Source organism: Homo sapiens, chromosome 20, assembly GCF_000001405.40.
Source record: "Homo sapiens chromosome 20, GRCh38.p14 Primary Assembly".
Taxonomy (NCBI): Eukaryota; Metazoa; Chordata; class Mammalia; order Primates; family Hominidae; genus Homo; species Homo sapiens.
The window spans coordinates 51,655,545-51,679,573 of record NC_000020.11 but is presented as its reverse complement, the minus strand read 5'-3'; the positions used below and the strand labels follow the sequence as shown (position 1 = coordinate 51,679,573).

The 24,029-nt window shown below is 46.2% G+C and overlaps 1 protein-coding gene across 1 annotated transcript in view; it reads left to right on the top strand.

Moving 5' to 3' along the window:
- Positions 1-24,029, top strand: part of ATP9A (ATPase phospholipid transporting 9A (putative)) — a 171,877-nt gene that overhangs the window by 88,817 nt on the left and 59,031 nt on the right. The window contains exons 10-14 of the mRNA NM_006045.3: positions 3,366-3,442; positions 5,261-5,421; positions 8,317-8,459; positions 9,465-9,577; positions 22,424-22,636. Coding sequence (NP_006036.1) covers positions 3,366-3,442; positions 5,261-5,421; positions 8,317-8,459; positions 9,465-9,577; positions 22,424-22,636 — 707 coding nt within the window. The remainder of the gene's footprint in view (positions 1-3,365; positions 3,443-5,260; positions 5,422-8,316; positions 8,460-9,464; positions 9,578-22,423; positions 22,637-24,029) is intronic.

Below are 24,029 nucleotides of genomic sequence, written 5' to 3'. Positions count from 1 at the left end.
GGGGAAGGAGGGGATCAGAGGCCTGGGGGTGGATACTTTCGGGTCAACAGTTACAAATTGGGCAGAGGATTTAAAGGAGTGGATAGTGGTGGATGGGGACCATGGTGAGCTCAGAGCACGTGCCTGTCTAAGAGGTGGTTGTTCCTCAGCACTCCCTGGGTGTAGCATGAGGAACGTGGACTCAGTGTCATCAGATCTTCCACACTTCCAGGAAAAGCCAGAGATCTCTTTTTTTAGAATTTTGTTTTTCTTGACAGAGTGTCACTCCGTCACCCAGGCTGGAGTACAGTGGCGTGATCTCGGCTCACTGCAACCTCCGCCTCCCAGGTTCAAGCAGTTCTCCTGCCTCAGTCTCCCAAGTGGCTGGGATTACAGGCATGAGCCACCATGCCCGGCTGATTTTTATATTTTTAGTAGAGATGGGGTTTCGCCATGTTGGCCAGGCTGGTCTCAAACTCCTGACCTCAGGTGATCTGCCTGTCTCGGCCTCCCAAAGTGATGGGATTACAGGCATGAGCCACCGTGCCCGGCCTCATTTTTTTTTTTAGATAGGCAAGCTCCTGAATTTAAAAGTGGCCAGTTATTCAGAACCTTGAAGGCACCGTGCAGACCAAGCCAAGGCGCATCCGGTGTGTGCGTCCTCTCCGGTTGGTGGTCTCACTGAGGATGAGGCTGGGGTTTGGATCTTGTGGAGGCAGAGCCTGTGTCCTGAGCACAAGAAGGCATGGGATGGGAAAGGCCATTTTCAGCAGCATTTGATGGCATCGAGGTTAGCCAGGCCAGACGTAGAGGGCACTCCCTTTGGGGTCCCCCTTGTTACTGGGGCCCTCTCTGACCCTGGGCTCTGGGGATTGAGGCTGAGCTGCATCTGCATAGGAGTGGATGCAGCGGTCGTGTGGTCATTCCAAGCTCAGCCCGGGCTCGGTTCCCACTGTCCAGCCATCTGCTGTGGTGACAGGGGCCTGAAGGGAGGGCTGCCTGTGTTCACAGGAGCCTGCCATCTGCCGAGAAGCCACCGCAAGCTCTCCCTGGCCTGCCATCTGCCGGGAGCCTCCTTGGAAGGGAACTGCATTGTGCTGGAGAACATTGTTTGCCTGGCTGAGTGTGTTAGACCCTTGAAGGACTTCAGCGCCTCCTCCTAGGGCTCTTTGTCCAGGACGTGGTCCCTTCAGTGCATTTGGGGGCGGGCTCTTTACTGCAGATGTGCTTCAGCCTCTTCGGATTTTTGTATCTCCTGACAGTGGCATTCCTGAGAGTGAGGGGGAGAGAGCACAGAGAAAGAGGTGTTTTCTCTTTCTGGCAGAGACCAAATTGCTTGTATTCCTGGGATCTTCCCTGAGAGCTTGGCAGGGCTGGCTCCTTCGTGTTCCAAGTTTTGGCTCAGATGATGTGAATGGAGACAGTACAAACTGCCTGCCCCCCACTGCCCCCTTCCCCCCGCCCTGCCACCCAGTCCTGTATGTTTCTCCGCTTGACTTGACTTTCAGCCTAGCGCCACTCACTCCCTGTGATGCCGTGTTTCTTGGTTTCCTTCTTTACTGTCTATCTTTCCTGCTGTGTTGATTTTCTTGGCACACACTGAGAAGGGGAGAGAAGTAAAATTTTGACAGATACTGCCAAATTTCTCTCCAAAATAGATCACACCAGTGTGCACGTCAGCCAGCAGTGTGTACCACAGGATTTTTGCCAATCTAATTGGGATAAAAATGATTTTGCATTTTTTGATTATTTACTAGATTGAGCATTTTCCTCTTGTTCACTGGCCATGTTGATTTCTTGAGTAAATTGTTGACTTTCGAAGGATTCATGCCTTTTCTTACTGTGTCTGGAGGATAGAAGGGGTGGGGGAGTTCTTAGGAAAGAGTTGTCCTTGGGACAGACATCCCCAAATGGGCAAGTTAGACTGAAAGGGATCAGGTTTAGCAGGAAGAATGTGCTCTAAAAAGAAGCATCTGTTTCCAAGTTTCCATAATAGTTAATGAAGGTAGGAATGTTCTAGGCACCTCTGGAAGCCTGTATGACCAGAGGCACAAACGGCAAGCCACGCCTTTCCCCAGTCACCTTCCATTAGAAGCCGCTGGGCCCCGTAGACCAGCATTCACCAGTACAAGTTTTGTGGTAAAAGGAGAAGGCTCTGGGTCTTCTCTGTTCCATGAGGTAGCTACTAGCTTATATGGCCATGAAACAGGGCTAGGGAGGGTGGGCGCTGTATTTAATTTAACTGAATTTAAACTCAAAGGGTTTTCAGTGGTTAGTGACTGTTCTTTTGGTCAGTGTAGCCGCAGATCATTGGTTTGGCCCTAATGTAAAACCTTTGATGTTCTCATAGTGTGGCTGTTGGGTTGGGCGAGGTGGCTCATGCCTGTAATCCAAGCACTTTGGGAGGCCAAGGTGGGAGGATCACTTGAATCCAGGAATTCAAGACCAGCCTGGGCAACATAGTGAGACCTCATTTCTACAAAAAAAACAAAAATTAGCCAAGCATGGTGGCATGTGCCTGTGGTCCCAGCTACTCGGGAGGCTGAAGTGGGAGGATCGCTTGAGCCCAGGATGTTGAGGCTGCAGTGAGCTATTAATATGATTGTGCCACTGCACTCTAGCCTGGGCAACAGAGTAAGACCCTCTCTCAAAAAAAAAAAAAAAAAAAAAAAAAAAAGAGACTGGGCGTGGTGGCTCATGCCTGTAATCCCAGAACTTTGGGAGGCCGAGGCAGATGGATCAGTTGAAGTCAGGAGTTCAAGACCAGCCTGGCCAACGTGGTGAAACCCCATCTCAACTAAAAATACAAAAATTGAGGTTGGGCGTGGTGGCTCATGCCTGTAATCCCAGCACTCTGGGAGGCTGAGGCAGATGGATCAGTTGAAATCAGGAGTTCAAGACCAGCCTGGCCTACATGGTGAAACCCCGTATCTACTAAAAATACAAAAATTAGCCGGGTGTGGTGGCAGGTGCCTGTAATCCAAGCTACTCCGGAGGCTGAGGCAGGATAATTGCTTGAACCCAGGAGGTAGAGGTTGCAGTAAGCGGAGATCACGCCATTGCATTCCAGCCTGGGGAACAAGAGTAAAACTCCGCCTCAAAACAAAACAAACCCAAAAGTTAGCCAGGCATGGTGGTGCACGCCTATAATCCCAGTTATTGAGGAGGCTAAGGCAGGAGAATCGCTTGAACATGGTGGGAAGCTTTCAGTTAGCCCATGTTGTGCCACTGCACTCCAGACTCCAGCATGAGCAACAGAGCAAGACTCTGTCTCAAAAAAAAAAAAGAACCCAGTCTCTCAAGAGGATCAGACTCTTCTATTTGCAAGCCTGCCTGTCTGTATTAATATTTCTTTTCTTTTTTTTTTTTTCTTTTTTCCATTTTAGGTACTGTTGTGGGTGTTGTTCTTTACACTGGCAGAGAACTCCGGAGTGTCATGAATACCTCAAATCCCCGAAGTAAGGTGTGTACGAGGTCATGGGGTACATTGACCGGCTGTGGGCTGGTTGGTTCTGGTGGGTGAGTGACGAGATATTAAAATAGGAACACCTAAGAGTGATATTTATACAGACATTTTATCTTTTTATGCATATGTGTGTGTGTGTATGCAATAAATACATATACAATACACATATATAATACAGTACGTAAATATGTAGTTACATGTTTGTGGATATATGACTTTTTTGTGCCTTTTTTTTTTTTTTCTTTTTTTGAGACAGGGTCTCACTTTGTTGCTCAGGCAGGAATACAGTGGCTTGATTTTGGCTCACTGTAACCTCTGCCTCCCGGGCTCAAGCAATCCTCCCAACTCCACCTCCTGAGTAGCTGGGACTATAGGCGTGTACCACCATGCCTGGCTAATTTTTGTATTTTTAGTAGAGATGGGGTTTCACCATGTTGGCCAGGCTGGTCTCAAGCTCCGGACATCAAGTGATCCTCCCTCCTCGGCCTCCCAAAGTGCTGGGATTACAGGCGTGAGCCATGGCGCCCAGCATTTTTTGTGCTTTTAGGTTAAACTGTGGAGCACGTACGGTTTGCACGCCTTGTGTTTCACCCTTCACGTGCATCTCATTTCATCTTCATAACAGCCCTGTGAGTGCATGCTTCCTTTATCCATGAGAAACGGCTTCAGGAAGCACCGTGCCCTGTCCAGGCTACACAGTGAGGACGGGGCAGGCCCATGTGATTCAAACCGTGACCCACCATCACAGCTTACCCCTCCTCCAATTTTTAAGAGTCAGAACATTACAGAATAATTGTCTTTTGTCAGTAGCAGGAAGGAATGCTGTGTCTCCTAAACTTCAGTCATGGTCGCTCCACCATTAGACGTTACAGCCATCATTACAACTATAAAATCGTTTGTTTAATGTTTTAGCCTTATCCTGGGGCATGTTTCTATGAAGTTATGGATATGATTTGTTACTTTTTAAAAGACTAGACATGAAGATAAATGTATTATTATTAAAATAATAATGTCCAGGGCCGGGCACGGTGGCTCACACCTGTAATCCCAGCACTTTGGGAGGCCGAGGCAGGTGGATCACCTGAGGCCAGGAGATTGAGACCAGCCTGGCCAACATGGCGAAACTCCGTCTCTACTAAAAATACAAAAATTAGCTGGGTGTGGTGGCGGGCGCCATAATCCCAGCTTATCGGGAGGCTGAGGTAGGAGAATCGCTTGAACCCAGGAGGTGTGAGCCAAGATTGTGCCCTTGCATTCCAGCCTGGGTGACAAAGCGAGACTCCATCTCTAAATAAATAAATAATAAAATAATGTCCATTAATGCACCACCTAAAAATCGGGTGCCACCACTGGTGTGCGCCCCAGACTTTCAGGCACTGCCGAGTTGGTGTTGGGTAGGGTGCTGAGAGTTTAGGATCTGAGTTGTTTTACAAGGCCAAGGGCACTCTGCAGGGTGGTGGAGGCTATTCAGCACACGACCCAGCCAGCACAGCAGTAACTCGCTGATACATTTCCAAGTGTAAATCTTCTTTAGTTGTAAACATTTTTTTGAGTTTTCAGAATTCTTTGAGTTCCCTTGGATGCCTGTTATGAACACCAGCCCATGGAAGCAGTGTTCTTAGACCAAAGATATGAGGATCGATGGATCCCACTGTCCTACCTGGGGTAGAGGTGTTTGTAGGGGAAGGACCAGCTCTCCGGCAGGCTGAGTTAGTGCAGTGAGGCTCAGCTCACTGCAGCCTCCACCTCCTGGTTTAGGTTTGAGATTAGTTACACCAGCTCATCTCAAGCCCTGGTTTGTGCTTCGTCCCACAGATCGGCCTGTTCGACTTGGAAGTGAACTGCCTCACCAAGATCCTCTTTGGTGCCCTGGTGGTGGTCTCGCTGGTCATGGTTGCCCTTCAGCACTTTGCAGGCCGTTGGTACCTGCAGATCATCCGCTTCCTCCTCTTGTTTTCCAACATCATCCCCATTAGGTAAGCAGGCGACGAGCTTGAGTTTGGCTGCCGTGACATCTTCTTCTCTTTACTCATTCAAAGATGATGGTTCTGTGGCTTTTATTATTATTATTGTTTTCTGAGATGGAGTTTTGCTCTTGTTGCCCAGGCTGGAGGGCAGTGGCGCGATCTTGGCTCACTGCAACCTCCACCTCCCAGGTTCAAGTGATTCTCCCGTCTCAGCCTCCTAAGTAGCTGGGATTACAGGCATGCACCACCATGCCTGGCTAATTTTTGTATTTTTAGTAAAGATGGGGTTTCACCATGTTTGCCAGGCTTGTCTTGAACTCCTGACCTCAGGTGATCTACCTGACTCAGCCTCCCAAGGTACTGGGATTGTAGGTGTGAGCCACCGCGCCCATCGGCTTTTAGAAGGAGCAGATCTCTTTGTAGAGTGAGGACCAAGAGCAATCAGTCAGGAGTGTGAACCACACTGAGGCTCTAGCACCAGAAGATCACATTCCTCCACAAGCCATCCTTTCTTGAATCAGAGATCTTTCCTTGCCTTGCCTCCCTATGCTAGGGATGCCATTTAGAGCTCCTGTCATCAGCCAGCTCTGCAAGGTTGATAGTGGCTGTTGGGACTGCTGTGTTGAGAAGGATTTTGAGCCTGCATCTGGGCTCAAAGGGAAATGGTGTTGTGATTGACAGCAGTGTCTGCTGTAGGTGTGCAATGAAAGCTTGGTGGCACATGCCAGTCCTTTGCCTACCTGATTTGGAGGTTGAATAAATGGTTATTTATTTATTTATTTATTTTTGAGATGGAGTCTTGCTCTGTCGCCCAGGCTGGAGTGCAGTGGTGCGATCTCAGCTCACTGCAGCCTCCACCTCCTGGGTTCAAGTGATTCTCCTGCCTCAGCCTCCTGAGTAGCTGGAATTATAGGCTCCTGCCACCACGCTTGGCTAATTTTTGTATTTTTAGTAGAGTTGGGGTTTCACCATGTTGGCCAGGCTGGTCTGGAACTCCTGACCTCAAGTGATCCACCCGCCTCAGCTTCCCAAAGTGCTGGGGTTACAGGCGTGAGCTACTGCACCTGGCCTGGTTTTTTAAAGTGATATAAATAATAGATTTTCATAGTAGAAAAAAGTGAAGGCCTGTATTAGCAAAAGAATAAAATATAAATCACCTCTGCTCTCACTACCAAGTGATAATCATTGTTAATAGTATGGGATATACTTTTTTCTAGAGTGCTTTTGATTTTAGAAAAAGGGGAGTTTGGTCTACTAAAATCTGCCTTTACAAAAAATTGGAGCAGTGTTTTGAATAACTTTTCACATCACTTGTATGTGTGTCCCATCATTTTTTAGAGCTGCTCTGTGATGTGGGTTAGCAGTCTACTTTCCCCCATATTGTTCTGTTTGCTTCTACTTTTTCCCCATGATAATTAGTAAATATTAAATTACATATTTTTTCCCTGAAACTTTTAGTGCTTATACTCTGTCTTATACTTGATATATTATCTTATATTTTGTCTTGCTATTTTATATATTTAGATCATCTTGGTGAGAATTTGTCTTTTTCTGGGGACAGAGATTGTCGTTTTGTGTAAAACAGTGTGACAGGGACAGGGGGACTGTGCCCAAGTCAGCATGCTCTGGATGGTGGATTCAGAGGATAAATACATCCACTTTAGTGACTTGACTGCTAGCAAAACAAGTATTCAATCTAAGTGACGTGGTAGCCTTCAAAGTTCTACATGTAACATGATTAAAAATTGGTGAGTCGACTCTTCATTTGTCCCAGGGCTAGCCAGTAAAATGGCAAGCAGTTTGATTAGTTTATAGGATGATGAATTAATGTGAAGACTTCTATTTACTTTGTGCAGTAAAATTAAATTTCAAAATGAGTATAATACATACAATGGAATACTCTTCAGCCTTCAAAAGGAAGGAAATTCTAATGCACCTTACAGTGTGGATGAACCTTGAGAACGTTATGCTAAGCAAAATAAGCCAGAAAAATAAGCCCCCCCAAAAGTCAGAAAAAGTGTATGATTCAACTTACATGCAGTGTCTAAGGTAGTTAAATTCCGGCCAGGCGTGGTGGCTCACGTCTGTAGTCCCAGCACTTTGGGAGGCCAAGACGGGTGGATCACTTGAGCCCAGGAGTTTGAGACCAGCCTGGGCAACATGGTGAAACCCCATCTCTACTAAAAATACAAAAAATTAGCCCGGCGTGGTGGCACACACCTGTAATCCCATCTACTCTGGAGGCTGAGGTGTGAGAATCGTTTGAACCCGGGAGGCAAAGGTTGTGGTGAGCTGAAATAGCACCACTGCACTCCAGCCTGAACAACAGAGTGAGACTTCGTCTCAAAAAAAAAAAAGTAGTCAAATTCATAGAAATGTAAGTAGAGTGCTGGTTGCCAGGGGCTGCCAGGGCTAGGGTTGGTGGGGGATGGGGCGTTATTGTTGAATGGGTGTGGAATTTCAGTTTGGGAAGATGAAAGAATTACGGAGGTGGATGATGCTGATGGCTGATAACATTGTAAATGTGCTCAGTACTATAGAATGGTCAATTTCCTGTTATGTATATTTTACCACAATTAAAAAAATGAATATAGCATCAAAAATATATTAGCTTAAGGGATCAGTAATTTTTCTAAAAGGTGAGATGGAAACCACTACCCTTTCTGTATTTTAAGTGACTTCAGTCCATAACATGAGCTTTGTGACAATAATGGATTTGTTCCGTGTGTGACTTGACGGTGGTGCTGGCTCTTGCTGAGTCTGTGCGTTCAGCTCTGGCAGTGTGCTTCTGCAGGGAGTGAGTCCGGATGCGATGGCACATGTGTTTAGAGTCCATGTTTTTATAAAGATACAAGGAGCCTTACATCTGTCCTGTTAGCCTGTTTGCTCTGGTTTTGTGCCTAGTTTGCGTGTGAACCTGGACATGGGCAAGATCGTGTACAGCTGGGTGATTCGAAGGGACTCGAAAATCCCCGGGACCGTGGTTCGCTCCAGCACGATTCCTGAGCAGCTGGGCAGGATTTCGTACTTACTCACAGACAAGACAGGTGAGCTGCTTTCTGGGACCTGCGCAGGATTCCTGGTGAGAGAAGATGCCTGAGGGCTTTGGCTGAAATTCTTGGGCTCTCTCTGGACATATGAGAGATGCGTGTTGCTGCTATTTTATTCCCTTCATCTTTTGATGAAGATTCTTTGGTGATGAAGATGATGATAACAGAATTATGTGCAGAATACAATTCTGGGGAGTTTCAGTGCGGTCACTCCTTCAGTCCTCACCTGAACCTTGTGAGTTAGGTAGTGTTTCTGTCCCGCTTCCACAGATGAGGAAATGTGGCCCAGAGAGGGTAAGTGACTTGTCACGGGCGCATAGTAGCCGAAGCAAGCTTTAACTCAGGCAGTCAGGCCTGATCTCTGACCACACCCTGATACTGCTACACAACTTAATGCTTGTCCAGGCATTAGGCTATCAGAGTGGTGAAGAGCAAGGATTGGGAGGGGGAAGATCTGGTTTCAGCCTCATCTCTACTGCTTAATGTCCATGGGGTAGAAGGGAAGCTAATGCAAAGATCCTGGGCGGCTCACCAAATCAGAGAAAAATGAGGTTTCTGGAAGGAGAGCCACCAGGAAAGTTCTGGTTAAGTCAGCATTAGGACCCTCCAGGTGGTCTCTGTAGGGCTCTGCCATTAGGGATGTATCTTTCTACTCAAGGGTCAGAATCCTTCGAGATAGAATCTGATTGCTCTAGTGTATGTCATTTGTCACCCTCTTGGCCAACGGAATGGGCCAGGCCCCTGATTGACAGTCCTCTTGGGCCACCTTAGGTAATGGGCATGGTGTGGTTAATTTCCCCTGGGAAAGCTAGGAAGCCATTTTCAAAAGGGGAATGGGATTCTAGGCAGGCAAAATGCTGCAGGTGTCTTCCCCAGCAGGGACAGTACTGACTGCAGTGTGTGACATAGGGCAAACTCTCCAAAGATGGCAGCTGTCATTACTGTTAATAATAACAAACATCCTGAGAGACAGGCCGGCCACTCATTTGTCTTGTGTTTTAGGCACTCTTACCCAGAACGAGATGATTTTCAAACGGCTCCATCTCGGAACAGTAGCCTACGGCCTCGACTCAATGGACGAAGTACAAAGCCACATTTTCAGCATTTACACCCAGGTAAAGCCTTCCATTTCAACACCCAAAACAATTCTTTGACTTTTTTTTTTTAACAGCTATATTGAGATGTAATTCACAATACCGTACAATTCACCCATTTCAAGAGTACAATTCATTGTTTTTTTTTAAGCATATTCAGAGTTGAGCAACTGTCACTGCAATCGATTTTATGTTTACCCCAAAAAGAAGCCCTCTACCCATCAGCAGTCACTCCCCAATACCTCCCTTCTATACCCATGACACCCACACTTCCTTTACACTTTGAATAAAATTGCATTTGGGGTCCTTCCCCATCTTCCCTATCTTCAGGGCTAATCTGCTCTGCTGAAGTGCTGATGGACATTAGGAAAAACCTGTGAGAAAATTATATGCCCAATAAATAGAACCAGAAGGAACCTGCTGGTTGATTATACTTCAAGTTTACGACCACGTTGATGTTTTCCCTTTCCCTGGCTATGACCCGGAGCACCAATAACAAATGGTCTGCTTGTGAAATAATCATGACGTTACTGATTACCTTTAGTTTCTCATCTACATTCAACTCAACAATCACGAGGAAGAAATTAGTTCATCAGAGATAACTTGCAGTTTATCTGTTCCTACCTTTATTTTTCCTACCAAGTTTCCCAAAACCAGTCACTTTTCAGAGAAAGTATTACTGGCAAATATCCTAATATTCCTAAAGTGTTAGACCGGTGGGTCCCCATCTTGGCTGTGTGTCAGAATTGCTGGTGGAGTTTCAAAACAACACAGAACAAAAACGAGACATTTATTTGGGCTTGATACCCTGGAGATTCTTACTCATTAAGACTTAGGGCAGGGCGTGGCTTTGGGTTTTAAAAGTAAGACAAACACACCCCTTGCTAATTCTGAGGCACATCCAAGGCTGAGCCAGACCGCGTTAGACCAGCTCCATGTTGCAGCACTTGTTTGGAGATAACAAGAGAATAAGGAGGTCATATTTTGCTTAAATTCGTCGAAATAGAGAACATTCCCATAGTCAGAAGACCAGTAAGAAATATGAATGAATTATCTCTGTATACAGGTTAAAGGCAGAATCCCTGAATACTTCTTGATACGGTCATAACTGACATTTAATTTTCTGGAACATTTGTCAGTGGGCTGGATTTCCAGGCTGTCTCCTGAAAATGGCAGAGCAGGGGACAGTGTGACAGTGGGAGTGGATGTTAAGTTAGAACAGCTGACTTGACACAGTTCTTGTCATCATCTACAACCAGCAACAAAGCCCTTGTTGCTGTTCCAGGCTCCATGGGGAGGCGTCATGGCTGGTCTCCAAATGGATCCATGGACCTTTTTCAAAGATGTACTTTAGCACTATTAAGAAATCACGAGGAACTTCCCTGGACAGGGAGGATGAGCCGCACAGCCCCCGTTTCCTTTCTGTCTCTTTGACCGTCTTCCTCTGTGTGGTGATTTGGGGTTGGTGTCTCTGGGGCTCGGTGCTGGACTCTGTTATGTTGTTCCCCGGATGGCCCCTCACCCTGCTTCCATCGCTCTGTGGATGCTGATGGCTCTGTCTCCATCTCCATCTCTAGGCCTGACCTGGAGCTTTGGATTATAACGTAGCCGAATGTTTGGCATTGCTGCATGTGGCTCATAAGGATGCTGTACCTGGGACCCCTCCTGACTTTCTTCCCTCATCTCCTAAACCTATTCTCTCCCAGGGCTGCTTGTCTTAGTGCACACCACGCCCTCCATCCTGGTACCCTCGTCACCCCAGCTGACAGCCACTGCCCCTTCTCCAGTACCTGCTCCCACCCGATCACTAGATCACCCCTTCGGCCTTTTTTTTTTTTTTCCTTCTCCCTTTCTTCCCTTCCTTTCCTTACCCTCCCTCCCCTCCCCCAGCCCCTCGCCCACTCCCAGCCCTTCCGCCCCCCCCCCCCCCCACCTCCCTTCCTTCTTTTGTAACAGGGTCTCACTCTGTCACCCAGGCTGGAGTGCAGTGGTGCAATCACAGCTCACTGCAGCCTCAAACTTCTGGGCTCAAGCAATCCTCCCATCTCAGCCTCCCAAGTAGCTCGGACTACAAGTGTGCACTGGGTATGCACCACCACACCTGGCTAATTTGGTTTATTTTTTATAGAGACGAGGTCTCACTGTGTTGCCCAGGCTGGACTTGAACTCCTGGGCTCAAGTGATCGCCTCACCTCCCAAAGGCTTCCCAAAGTGTTGGGATTACAGGCATGATGCACTGCGCCCAGCCACCTTTGGCCTTTTGTCTTCATCCCTTCTCACTCACTCAGCAAGGTGACCCCCTTCCTCGCCTGTCTGCCGTGACCCCCTGCACAGTAGCTGCCCGGCTTTCCTTCTTGCTGTCCTCTCAGGAGCCTCTCGGTACCATCAGCTCTGTGGTGGAGTCTGAGACTTGCAGTGGGATCTAGCCTTGGTCTTCATCCCCTCCCCTTTCCCATGTTTCAGCCTTCCAGGCAGGGTGAGCTGCCTTATTTCTGTGTCTCAAATTAGACCCTTCCCTCGGAGCCACCAACCCCAAATGCCCACCAGGCTCCTTCTTGGGGGGCTCATTGATTGGATTGTCATGCATATCAGCACCCAGCTACATGTCTGTATCACTCGCAGCCCCTTCTCAGTCGTGTTGACTCTTGATGGTTATATTAGACAGCTTCACAGGTGGTGGTGTGTACATCCGGTGGGAGTTACACCCATGCCATGTTGCTGGTATTTTTAAGAGCTCCTGGTGTTTACGGAAGCCGTCCCCTCTCAGGATATTTGTGTATTTTAGCTTTTATGGTTCATTTTTGGCTTAGCACAGATAACACTCTTTGTAAAGTGTTGAAATTCAGAAAACCACACTTCTTACCGTGAACCTCACCTCATACTCCTTCCTTAGGGGAAGCTCATAAATCAGTTTGCCCATCCCGGCCTTGAGTCTGACACAGCTGTGTGTTGTGGGGTTAGGGTTAGCTGTGCGAGGCTGGGGTGAACTCACAATTCCAGTACAGATCTACCCAAGTGAGAGTGTGTGCATCTTTCTCTCGTGATGTCTAAACATCCTGGCATAAGCACAGGACCACGTGTGTGATGGGACATATGGAAGCTTTTGCATGCTTTTTTAAAACCAGTTTTATCGAGGGATGATTTACATACCTGAAAGTTCAGCCATGTTGAATACACAGTGTGGTGACTTTAGTAAATTTGCAGCTGTGGAACCATCCCAAATATGCACATCACCCCTGCTCCCACTGCAGTCACGCCTCCCACCTTAGAGCTTCGTAAGGGGTTCTTATACCAGTGGTTCTTTCTTCTTTTTCTTTCTTTCTTTTTTTTTTTTTTTTAAGACACAGTCTCACTCTGTTGCCCAGGCTGAGGTACAGGGGTGCGATCTCGGCTCACTGCAACCTCCACCTCCCGGGTTCAAGCAATTCTCTGCCTCAGCCTTCCTAGTAGCTGGGATTACAGGCACCTGCCACCACGCCCGGCTAATTTTTATATTTTTAGTAGAGACGGGGTTTCACCATGTTGGCCTGGCTGGTCTCAAACTCCTGACCTCAGGTGATCTGTCCGCCTTGGCTTCCCAAAGTGCTGGGATTACAGACGTGAGTCACCATGCCTGGCCCAGTGTTTCGTAAAGTACAGCCTTTGGAACCCCTGGGCTAGATCACTTGGGCCAGAGTCAGGAGCACAAGGAGTGGTGCCCAGACCTGCAGTTTTAACAGGTGAACCAGGTGTTTCCAGAGTACAGTAGCATTGGAGAACAGCTGCTGTGAAACTGAGGTTCATCCCTGTTCAGAGCATGGGTATCTAAACCTGTGGACTCCAAGGAAGAGTTTGCAAGATGACCCACTGGGGTACAGGAAGCGACTCTTTACATTTCAGTTCCATCTCCAAAATTAATGCAAAATTAAAATCTTACTAATACTATTGAGGTTGACCCAGGGGCCCTCACTCCATGTATCAGACAGGTACTTGTCAGGTCCGGTCCTTGAGGTGTCCTGCGGAAGGGGCTGGAATTCCACAGTTGTTTATTTTCCCAGTGTTGAAATGTAGGCCGCAGTTTATGAGTGTCCAGGTGACTTGTTCTAAGGATGTGGTTGAACTAAACTGGACTCATAAAGAGAGCAGGTGGTTTTAAAAGATTCCTGCAGGAAAGCTTCAGATTATTAATACAAGGCCAAGTAAACAGTAAGAAAATGGCCAACACATTAGGAGAGAAAACTATAACCAGCTAAGGACTTGTGATGGTTTTTCCCCTGGGTTATTCATTTACTGGTACTTTTTTTTTTTTTTTTTGAGACGAAGTCTCACTCTGTCGCCCCATCCTGGAGTGTAGTGGTGCTATCTTGGCTTACCACAAACTCTGCCTCCCGGGTTCAAGAGATTCTCCTGCCTCAGCCTCCCGAGTAGCTGGGATCACAGGCATGTGCCAACACACCTGGCTAATTTTTTTTTTGTATTTTTGGTAGAGACGGGGTTTCACCATGTTGGCCAGGCTGGCCTCGAACTCCTGATTTCAGATGATCTGCCTGCCTCGGCCTCCCAAAGTGCTGGGATTACAGGCTTGAACCACCACGCCTGGCAATTTACTAGTACTTTTAATGGAAAAAGGGGATACAATTTAAAAACCATAAAATTTGCTCTTTTAAGCATATGATTCTGTAGTTTTTAATATGTTCACAATACTGTGCAAACATTGGTACTGTCTAATTTTAGAACATTTTTATCAACCCTAAAAAGAAAGCCCACATCCCTTGAGTTCCCAAACCCCCCTGCTCTATCCCCCCAGCTGTCAGTCTACTTTCTGTCTCTGGATTTGCCTATTCTGAACATTGCCTATAAATAGAATCAAACAATATGTGACCTTTTGTGTCTGGCCGGTCTTCCGTTTAGCAGAGTATTTGCAAGGTTCTTCCGGTTGTAGCAGGTGTATGTACTTTATTCCTCTTTGTAGCTGAATAACAGGTATGATGATTTAAAATTTAAGTTTAGGCTGGGTGTGGTGGCTCACGCCTGTAATCCCAGCACTTTGGGAGGCCGAGGCGGGCAGATCACGAGATCAGGAGTTTGAGACCAGCCTGACCAACATGGTGAAACCCCGTCTCTACTAAAAATACAAAAAAAAAAAAAAAAATTAGCCGGGGGTGGTGGCGGGCACCTGTAATCCCAGCTACTCAGGAGGCTGAGGCAGAAGAATAGCTTGAACCCGGCAGGTGGAGGTTGAAGTGAGCTGAGATCGCGTCACTGCACTCCAACCTGGGTGACAGAGGGAGACTCCTCTCAAAAGGAAAAAAAAAAGAAATTTAAGTTTAAATCTATAATTCTCAGTGTTCCTTACCCCAAGTATATGTTATTTTGAGATATTAGCTAATTGTGTGAGAAATGCTATTTTTCATTTTGTTTTCTTATTTATTTTTATTTTTATTTTTTTGAGACAGAGTCTTATACTCTCTTACCCAGACTACGGTGCAGTGGTGCCATCACAGCTCACTGTAGCCTTGACCCCTCAGGCTCAGGTGATCTTCCCACCCCAGCCTCCCAAGTAGCTGGGACCACAGGCATGCGTCACCATACCTGGCTAATTTTTGTATTTTTTGTAGAGAGAGGGGGTGTTACCATTTGCCCAGGCTGGTCTCGAACTCCTGGGCTCCAGCAATTAGCCCACCTCAGCCTCTCAAAGTGCTGGGATTACAGGCATGAGCCACTGCAGCCAGCCCTGTTTTTCATTTTTATCATAGGATTTTAGAATTTTTTTTCTTGTTTTGTAATGTTCAGTAGTACAATACAATATTTATACAAAGATCAATATATATAGATGGAAGGTACTTGGAAAACTTTTCCTGCTGGGCGTGGTAGCTCATGCCTGTAATCCCAGCTACTCTGGAGGCTGAGGCAGGAGACTTGCTTGAACCCAGGAGGTAGAGGTTGCAGTGAGCTGAGATCATGCCACTGCACCCAGCCTGGATGACAGAGCAAGACAGTCTCAAACCATAATTGGGATTATTCCACATACTTTGGTCTGTGAACTGTCATTTTTCATTTACTGAGTTGTTTTTTTTATGAGCGTGTGAGTTTGTGATTTATTTTTCTACACACAACATATATACACAGGATGCACTCAGTTCATCAGTACTGACTGCCAGAGAGCGTTCTTCTTACTTTCTGCATCCACAGAAAACAGATACAAAGTTCAGTTTATGTTCTCTTGTTTTTTTTTTTTTTTTTCTGAGACGGAGTCTCGCTCTGTTTCCCAGGCTGGAGTGCAGTGGCGCGATCTCCGCTCACTGCAAGCTCCACCTCCCGGGTTCACGCCATTCTCTTGCCTCAGCCTCCCAAGTAGCTGGGATTACAGGCGCCTACCACCATGCCCAGCTAATTTTTTGTATTTTTGGTAGAGATGGGGTTTCACCATGTTAGCCAGGATGGTCTTGATCTCCTGACCTCGTGATCCGCCCGCCTCAGCCTCCCAAAGTGCTGGGATTACAGGTGTGAGCCACCGAGTTTACATTCTCTTGAGGAAGAATTTTTTTTGTCAGTGTGGTTTTCTCTGGGACATGGAGCCTACTTCATTTTTTACTCATTGAAAAAACTTTCTGGTATTTATGAAAGTTTTTTTTGCAGAAAAAATAAATCATACGGCCAAGCACAAAGACAAAACATTGAATTCACCTGTATTCATATCATTCGGCAGTAACCAGTATTAACACCTGGGTGGACAAAACGCCAAATGCTCTGCCTTTGTGTGTCTGGATAGATGCGTTCTTTATTTCTCTCTGTCTCTGTTTTCTTTTCAATGAGAACCCATCATATTCCTTTCTTTTTTAACTAGAGTTGACCACCAGAATTGCCTGTAAAGTTTTAAAAATATAAATATAAATATATGCCTGGGCTGTACGGCATTCTTTGGGTCTGGATCTTAAGTATGTATATTTTAAAAATGTTTTTTTTTGAGATGGAGTTTTCGATCTTGTTGCCCAGGCTGGAGTGCAGTGGTGTGATCTTGGCTCACTGCAACCTCTGCCTCGTGGGTTCAAGCGATTCTTCTGCCTCAGCTTCCTGAGTAGCTGGGATTACAGGTGCCTGCCACCATGCCAGCTAATTTTTGTATTTTTAGTAGAGACGGGGTTTCACCATGTTGGCCAGGCTGATCTCGAACTCCTGACCTCAGGTGATCCGCCCGCCTCAGCCTCCCAAAGTGCTGGGATTACAGGTGTGAGCCACTGTGCCCGGCGTGTATATTTTAAAAAATCTTTATTGGTTATTCTGAGAAGCCTTCCTGGTTAAGAACCACTGCCAGAATAACACTATTTAACTTCCTTCTTTTCACTCATGTCAAGGTTTTTAATGGTTTCATAACACAGTCCAGACTAGAGTAAGACAAGTGAGGAACTCACATAGCAAATTTAACCGGGTGCCAAAAAAAAAATAAATAAAGCAAATCATACTTTGGTGAAAAAAAATTTTTTTTTTTTTTTTGAGACAGAGTCTTGCTCTGTTAACCAGGCTGGAGTGCAGTGGCGTGATCTCAGCTCACTGCAACCTCTGCCTCCCAGGTTCAAGCAATTCTCCTGCCTCAGCCTGCCGAGTAGCTGGGATTACAGGCACCTGCCACCACGCCCAGCTAATTTTTGTATCTTTAGTAGAGACTGGGTTTCACTCTGTTGGCCAGGCTGGTCTCGAGCTCCCGACCTCAGGCGATCCACTCGTCTTCCCCCAAAGTGCTGGGATTACAGGCGTGAGCCACCACACCTGGCGCAGTGCAATATTTTAAAAACTCAAGCGCAAAACATTCGTGAAGAACAGTATATTGAAATTTTAAATGAAGGCAAGATCCAACCTTGTGCTAGCACAGTTCAGTTGCGCTAACTCACCCTGGTCCTAAGCCCTGGATTTATAGTTTCAGTGGCTGTCAGGCTTCTCATTATTGGGGCTGGATTATTCTTTGTCATGGGAGGCTGTCCTGTGCCTTGTAGGAGGTTAAGCAGCATGCTACAGATTTCTATAGTACCCCTGTCCCCTCACAGTTGTGACAACCAATTATGTCTCCAGACATGACCAAATGAGGGTCAAAATCATCCAAGTTGAGAATGATGATGATATATGGGTACATTTAAATTTATTGACTTTGTGTTGCAGATGATGTCTGCTCTAAAACAGTAAACATTGGATTTACTTAGTCACTTAATCAGCCTGTGGCTCAGCTGATTCATTTGGAGGTAGTAGCTCTGAGCCTGTCTCTTTGATGGTGGCCCTTTGAGGTGAGTGAGTCATCAGCTCTGAGCTTTTTTGATGTGGCAGGTTAGTTAGGGTTATCATAACAGAAATTCTTTATCTTTAATAGTGTATTTCTGGCTGGGTGCAGTGGCTCACACCTATAATCCCAGCACTTTGGGAGGCCGAGGCGGGAGGTTGACTTGAGCCTGGGAGTTAGAAAACAGCCTGGGCAATAAGAGGGAGACCTTGTCTCTACCAAAAAAAAAAAAAAAAAAAAAAAGCTGGGCATGGTGGTGCACGCCTGTGGTCCCGGTATTCAGAAGGCTGAGGTGGGAGGATTACTTGAGCCCAGAAGGTTGAGGCTGCAGTGAGCTGTGATCATGCCTCTTCACTCCAGCCTGGGCAACAGAGTGAGACCCTGTCTCAAAAAAAAAAAAAAGTGTATTTCAGTCAATTGCAACCCATTCCTAATATCCATTAATAGTATGAATGCCCATATGTGGTGAAGTTTTAACTGCATTTGGAAAGAAAACTGGCATTCCTGGTGACTCAACGTTTAATTTTTGTATTAATCTTTTCTGTAATAACAGGCTGGAGTTCTTGTCAGGAAATGGCCCTAGCTGTGGATTACTAATGGGAAAGGGAAGCCTATTTTCCCTGCCTTGGTGTCTCATTTATTGGCTGGGATGCTATAAATGACTCAGGGGCTTTATAGGATTCGAGACACCCGCCCAGGGGCCCAAGTCAGGGCCCTTTGTATTTGGAGATCTTAATTCCTCTCCCAATAGTGACCTGTGCTTGGTTCTGAAGTCACTTCTGACCTCGTGTGGAGCTGTTCTGCCCTCCCTCCCTCCATAAGGGGACCAGTGGTTTTTCCCCAGGGCAAAAAGAGTCATAACCTGCCTCTGTGGATGCCACATCTGTTTTTGTTTTCCCCTGGTATTTTTTAAGTAAGAAGAAATGTGTGTAGGTTAAAGGGCCTATGGGGAGGAGGTTAGAGATAAACACTGTACAATGTGAAACTCTTCCATATGGGGAATGTGAGGATGTTTGAAGGCCAGGCCTAAGACAGGCATCATCCAAACACAGCCCCTGGTCAGTTTCAGTGCCTTAAGGATGTATGCGCATGACCATTTGGTGTGCAAATGAGACTTTATTTAACAATTAAAAGAAGCAGTTTCAGCACCAATGAGTATTTCCTCTCCTTCCTGGAACATTTTAGTAGGAAAGGTGGGAAAGTATTAATTTAAGAGAGAAAGATATGTGGGTGGAGGCATTGAACCTGTGGCCTGTGATGTTGGTCAGGCTATCATAGTAGTCTTCTAATTCATTCGTTGTCAGATGGTCTCCTGAGTGAGGCCTTTGTCAACATCTGACCGTCTGTGGTTCTCTTTTTGCCTTGCTTGGGAATTGTTTCACCTGGAATACAAAATCCCATGGCTCTGTGTTATCCCATGTTTGAAATATTAGTGGAAGCATTTGACTTTTGTAGATATGAAAGCAGATTGCTTTACAAAATCCAGAAGTTCATGAAGGATGCCCTCAGTACAGCTTTTCATTTAAATCCGTGGATACTGAAACTTGCCAACCACAGTAATTACTTTGTCAAAGGTCTTGTTATTGCGCCTAATGTTAAATAACGATTTGGTCCAGGTGCTGAGGAATGCGGACAGAAATGAAGACACGTGTTCGTGGCTAGAACCTAAATTATAGAATTTTTTAAAAAAAGGGTTCTCGATTTAGTCTCTCCAATAGAGAACCTTTCTGTAAATCTTTTCTTTATAATTTTAGAGTTAAATTCTTTATAATTAAAAGCACTCGGCAAATAATGATTCATTTAAACCGGAGTTCTGATTCATTACTCTAATTATTGTTACCATGCAGTGCCCTTTGGCCTGGAAGTGAAACTCGTGTGCTCCTGACACCAGAGGTTAACAGAGCAGGAAGGCAGAGCGCTGTGTCCCCGCAGTGACCAGAATAATTTAGTAATTGTCTAATTACCTGAGGAGTCTAATGCTAATACTAAAAATAGTATTAAAAAATTAAGTGAAAGTCATTTTCTTGTTTCTTGTAACCCATCTGTTCTCTATTTTGGGCAATCGGGTGTCATGGGTGTAAAGTGCGACTCATTTTAAAGGATCAGATCACTTCTCTCCTGTTGGATAAATATGTTTTTAATAGAATGTAGAATCTGGTAACTCCATACACATTTCTAGCCTCCACAATTCAGTTGGCTGTGGATTCAGTAAGACTGTTGTAGGTGACCCCTTGTCTAAATCTGTGATTTAAAATCTGAAACTGATGTCGATTTCATAGTTGTTACTTCTTGAAAATGAAAAAAAATGCATGTCAATTGAGGACTCCCTACCACCACCTTGGGACTATTAAGTTATTAATTTAATTGTTCAGCAAATATCTGTTACATACCAGACACTGCCCTGGATACTAGGAATACAGTGATGAGTAACTCACTCAGGTGAGCCTTCTGTTTCTATGGTCTAATGAGAGGGAACCGTCAGGTAAATAGGCCAATTTAGACAATGAAGAGAGTAACACACAGGGTGTTGCCAAAATGTGACTTGCAACGGGAAGGCAAGTGGAGTGCCATGAACTGGGGGGCCCAGGAAGAGCCTCTTTGAGGAGGTAAAGTTGAATTGAGGCCTGAATGATGAGACTGAGCAAGCCAGCCCTGCAGTGAGCTGGGGGATGGGGTTCCAGGCAGAGGGCACAGCAAGTGCAGAGGCCCTCAGGCAGGAAGAAGCTTGGCAGTGCCCAAAGAACAGAAAGGCCAGCATGGCTGGAGCAGAGGGAACGGGAGGAAGATGGCATGAGGGACAGCTGGAGATGCAGGCAGGTGTTGATCAGATGCGAGGGCATTTGGCTTGTGTTCAACAATGAGCCTTCCCCCCCCCCCCCCCGCCAGTGGTCTTAATTTTCATTATATTCTAAAGCAGTAGAACCCTTTCTTCAAAGGAAGCCTAGGTGGGGGTCGGGCACGGTGGCTCACACCTGTAATCCCGGCACTTTGGGAGGCCGAGGCAGGCGGATCGCTTGAGGTCAGGAGTTCGAGACCAGCCTGGCCAACATGGTGAAACCCCATCTCTACTAAAAATACAAGAATTAGCAGGGCTTGGTGGCGGGCGCCTGTAATGCCAGCTACTCGGGAGGCTGAGGCAGGAGAATCACTTGAACCCAGGAGGCGGAGATTGCAGTGAGCTGAGATCATGCCACTGCACTCCAGCCTGGGTGACAGAGTGAGACTCATGTCTCAAAAAAAAAAAAAAAAAAAAGGAAGCATAGGTGGCACCCGATGTGTGACAGAGGAACGGAGCTGCAGGCTGCATCTCCCATCCTGCTGCAGTTGGTGGTGCTGAGCGGGTTTCTCAGGATTCCTGGGGCTCAGTGTGGAGCATGGATTGAAAACCACCTCTAGTTCACTCCTCTCCTGCCTCAGCCTCCCGAGTAGCTGGGATTACAGTGCCACCACACCCAGCTAATTTTTGTATTTTTGTAGAGACAGGGTTTTACCATGTTCGGCAGGCTGGTCTTGAACTCCTGACCTCAAGTGATCCACCCGCCTTGGCCTCCCAAAGTGCTGGTATTACAGGCGTGAGCCACCGTGCCCGGCCACTCCTCTCGTTGACAGGAAACAGCCTCAGAGGACAGACACCACTTGCTGCAGGTGTCCTAGCTGCTTGCCACCCATCCAAGAATAAGGCTTAGCTTTGGTTACCCTTCAGTGCTCTTTTTACCATGTTGCTCAAAACCATTTTTCCAAGACTTAACCCATTCCTGGCCTTTCAGGGGCTGAGCTGTGTTGCCAGTTGGAAAGGAAGGGATGGAGAAGGCCAGTTGTATGCCATGGAGCTGCCTCTCAGGCAAGAGCTGGGGTCTAAAGTCAGCCTGCAAGGCAAAACTTGAGCACAGTTACCATTACACCCGAAAGTCTAGCTTCAGTGGGGAGCCAGGTGCCGTTTTGCAGTGAGTCCCATCCGGCCAAGGTTTCCTCTGGCTGTTCCTGACGCCTTGCTGGACTGCCCTGGATTGCTTGTTGCTGATGGTTGTTACTTGCATACGGTACCAGATGAGGTTGTTGCCTTCTGTTGTAAACCAAGAAGATTGTGAGCTTAAACAGTGGTTCTAAGCCGAGGGTGATTTTGGCCTCTATTGGACATTTGGTGACATATCTTGTCACAACTAGGGGAGTGCTGCTGGCGTCCAGCGCATCTGGTGGCTGGAGGACAGGGATGCTGCTGAACACCCTATATAATGTCCCCCAACATAGGAGTACCCAAGTGGGGAAGCCCTGCTCTGAACTACCGGGATCCCTTTCAGTGCAGTGGGGTCCTCATTCTGTCAAAAGCCCCCGACACCACCCCAGGGAGGATAGATTCACTCAATCTGCAGGTAGAATCGTTCTCGTTCATTAAATTGTATTTTTTTTCCTCTGTCTCTTTTTCTTTTTTTTTTGCCGAGCATAAATGACAAACCCTGAAAATTGCATGTCATTTATTTGCAGCATCATTGTAGATATATCTAAGGGTTCTGTGTGTTGGAACAGTAGAAAAAAGAAACAATAGCTGCACGGCTGTTCTTCCACTCTCCAAATCATTCCTGCCTCTGGTCATCTTCCTTGTTCATTTCTCCTTCCTGTAGCAATCCCAGGACCCACCGGCTCAGAAGGGCCCAACGCTCACCACTAAGGTCCGGCGGACCATGAGCAGCCGCGTGCACGAAGCCGTGAAGGCCATCGCGCTCTGCCACAACGTGACTCCCGTGTATGAGTCCAACGGTGTGACTGATCAGGCTGAGGCCGAGAAGCAGTACGAAGACTCCTGCCGCGTATACCAGGCATCCAGCCCCGATGAGGTAAACCTGGGCAGGTGCAGCAAGGCATGGGGAGGCCCTGCTTGTTTTCTCTGTGCTGGAATTAGGCGTTTTCTAAGGAAGCAATGTGTCAGGGCAGACAGGAGCCAGGATGATGCAGGGCTGCTGGGAAACACATTTTCAAATACAAGAAAGAAACGCCTTTCCTCTAAAAAGAATAGCCTTGGACTTGAGGTATAGTCTGAATTAGGAAAGTTAGAGATTTTGTTTTGTAACTCAAAAGGCCAGCATAACAGGGCACAAGGTCCCATTTAAACCACATACTTTAAAAAAGATGTAAATAATTAAGATCTTAATTAAGATAAACTCCACATTCCATACAGTCTACCTATTTAAAGTATGACTTTTTTATTTTATTTTTTTCCCCGAGATACAGTCTCACTCTTTTGCCCAGGCTGGAGTGCAGTGGCGTGATCTCGGCTCACTACAACCACCCACTCTGGGGTTCGAGCGATTCTCCTGCCTCAGCCTCCTGAATAGCTGGGATTACAGGCACCCACCACCATGCCCGGCTAATTTTTTGTATTTTTAGTAGAGATGGGGTTTCACCATGTTGGCCAAGCTGGTCTTGAACTCCTGACCTCAGGTGATCCACTGGCCTTGGCCTCCCACAGTGTTGGGATTACAGGCGTGAGTCACTGCGTTGGTGAGTATGGCTTCTTAATATAGTTAGTATATTTTGGGATTTTTTTTTTTTTTTGCAACCATCATCACAATCAAATTAGGATATTTTTATCACCCCAAAGGAAATTCTATACCCACTTTCCTGCTGTACTCCCTTGTCTTCCTCATTCCTCCAGCCCTAAAGCACCCACTAATCTACTTTCTACCTCTATAGATTTGCCTATGACAGACACTCCAAACATCTGGAACCATACAATAGGTGGCCTTTTGTGATTGGCCTGTTTTACTTAGTGTGATGTTTTCAAGATTCATCCATGCATATTCACTCATCAATGCTTCATTCCTTTTTATCACTGAATAATAATCTGTTTATGGATATATTACATTTTATTTATCCATTCATCAATTAATGCACATTTGGATTTTTTTTTTTGTCTATATAGATAATGCTGCTATGGACAATTGTGTACAAGTATTTGAGTGGGTGTAGATTTCTGTTTCTCTTGGGTATATACCTAGGAGTGGGTTGGCAATGTCATATGGTGACTCTATAGTTAACCTTTTGAGGAGCTGTCTGTCTGTTTTCCAAAAGTGGCTGCGCTATTTTACGTATCTACCAGCAACGTATGACAGTTTCCGTTTCTCCACATCTCGGTCAATCCTTGTTACTGTCAGTTGTTTGGATTCTGGACGTTCTAGTCAGTGTGGAGCGGTATCTCATTGTGGTTTTGATTTGTATTTTCCGGATGGC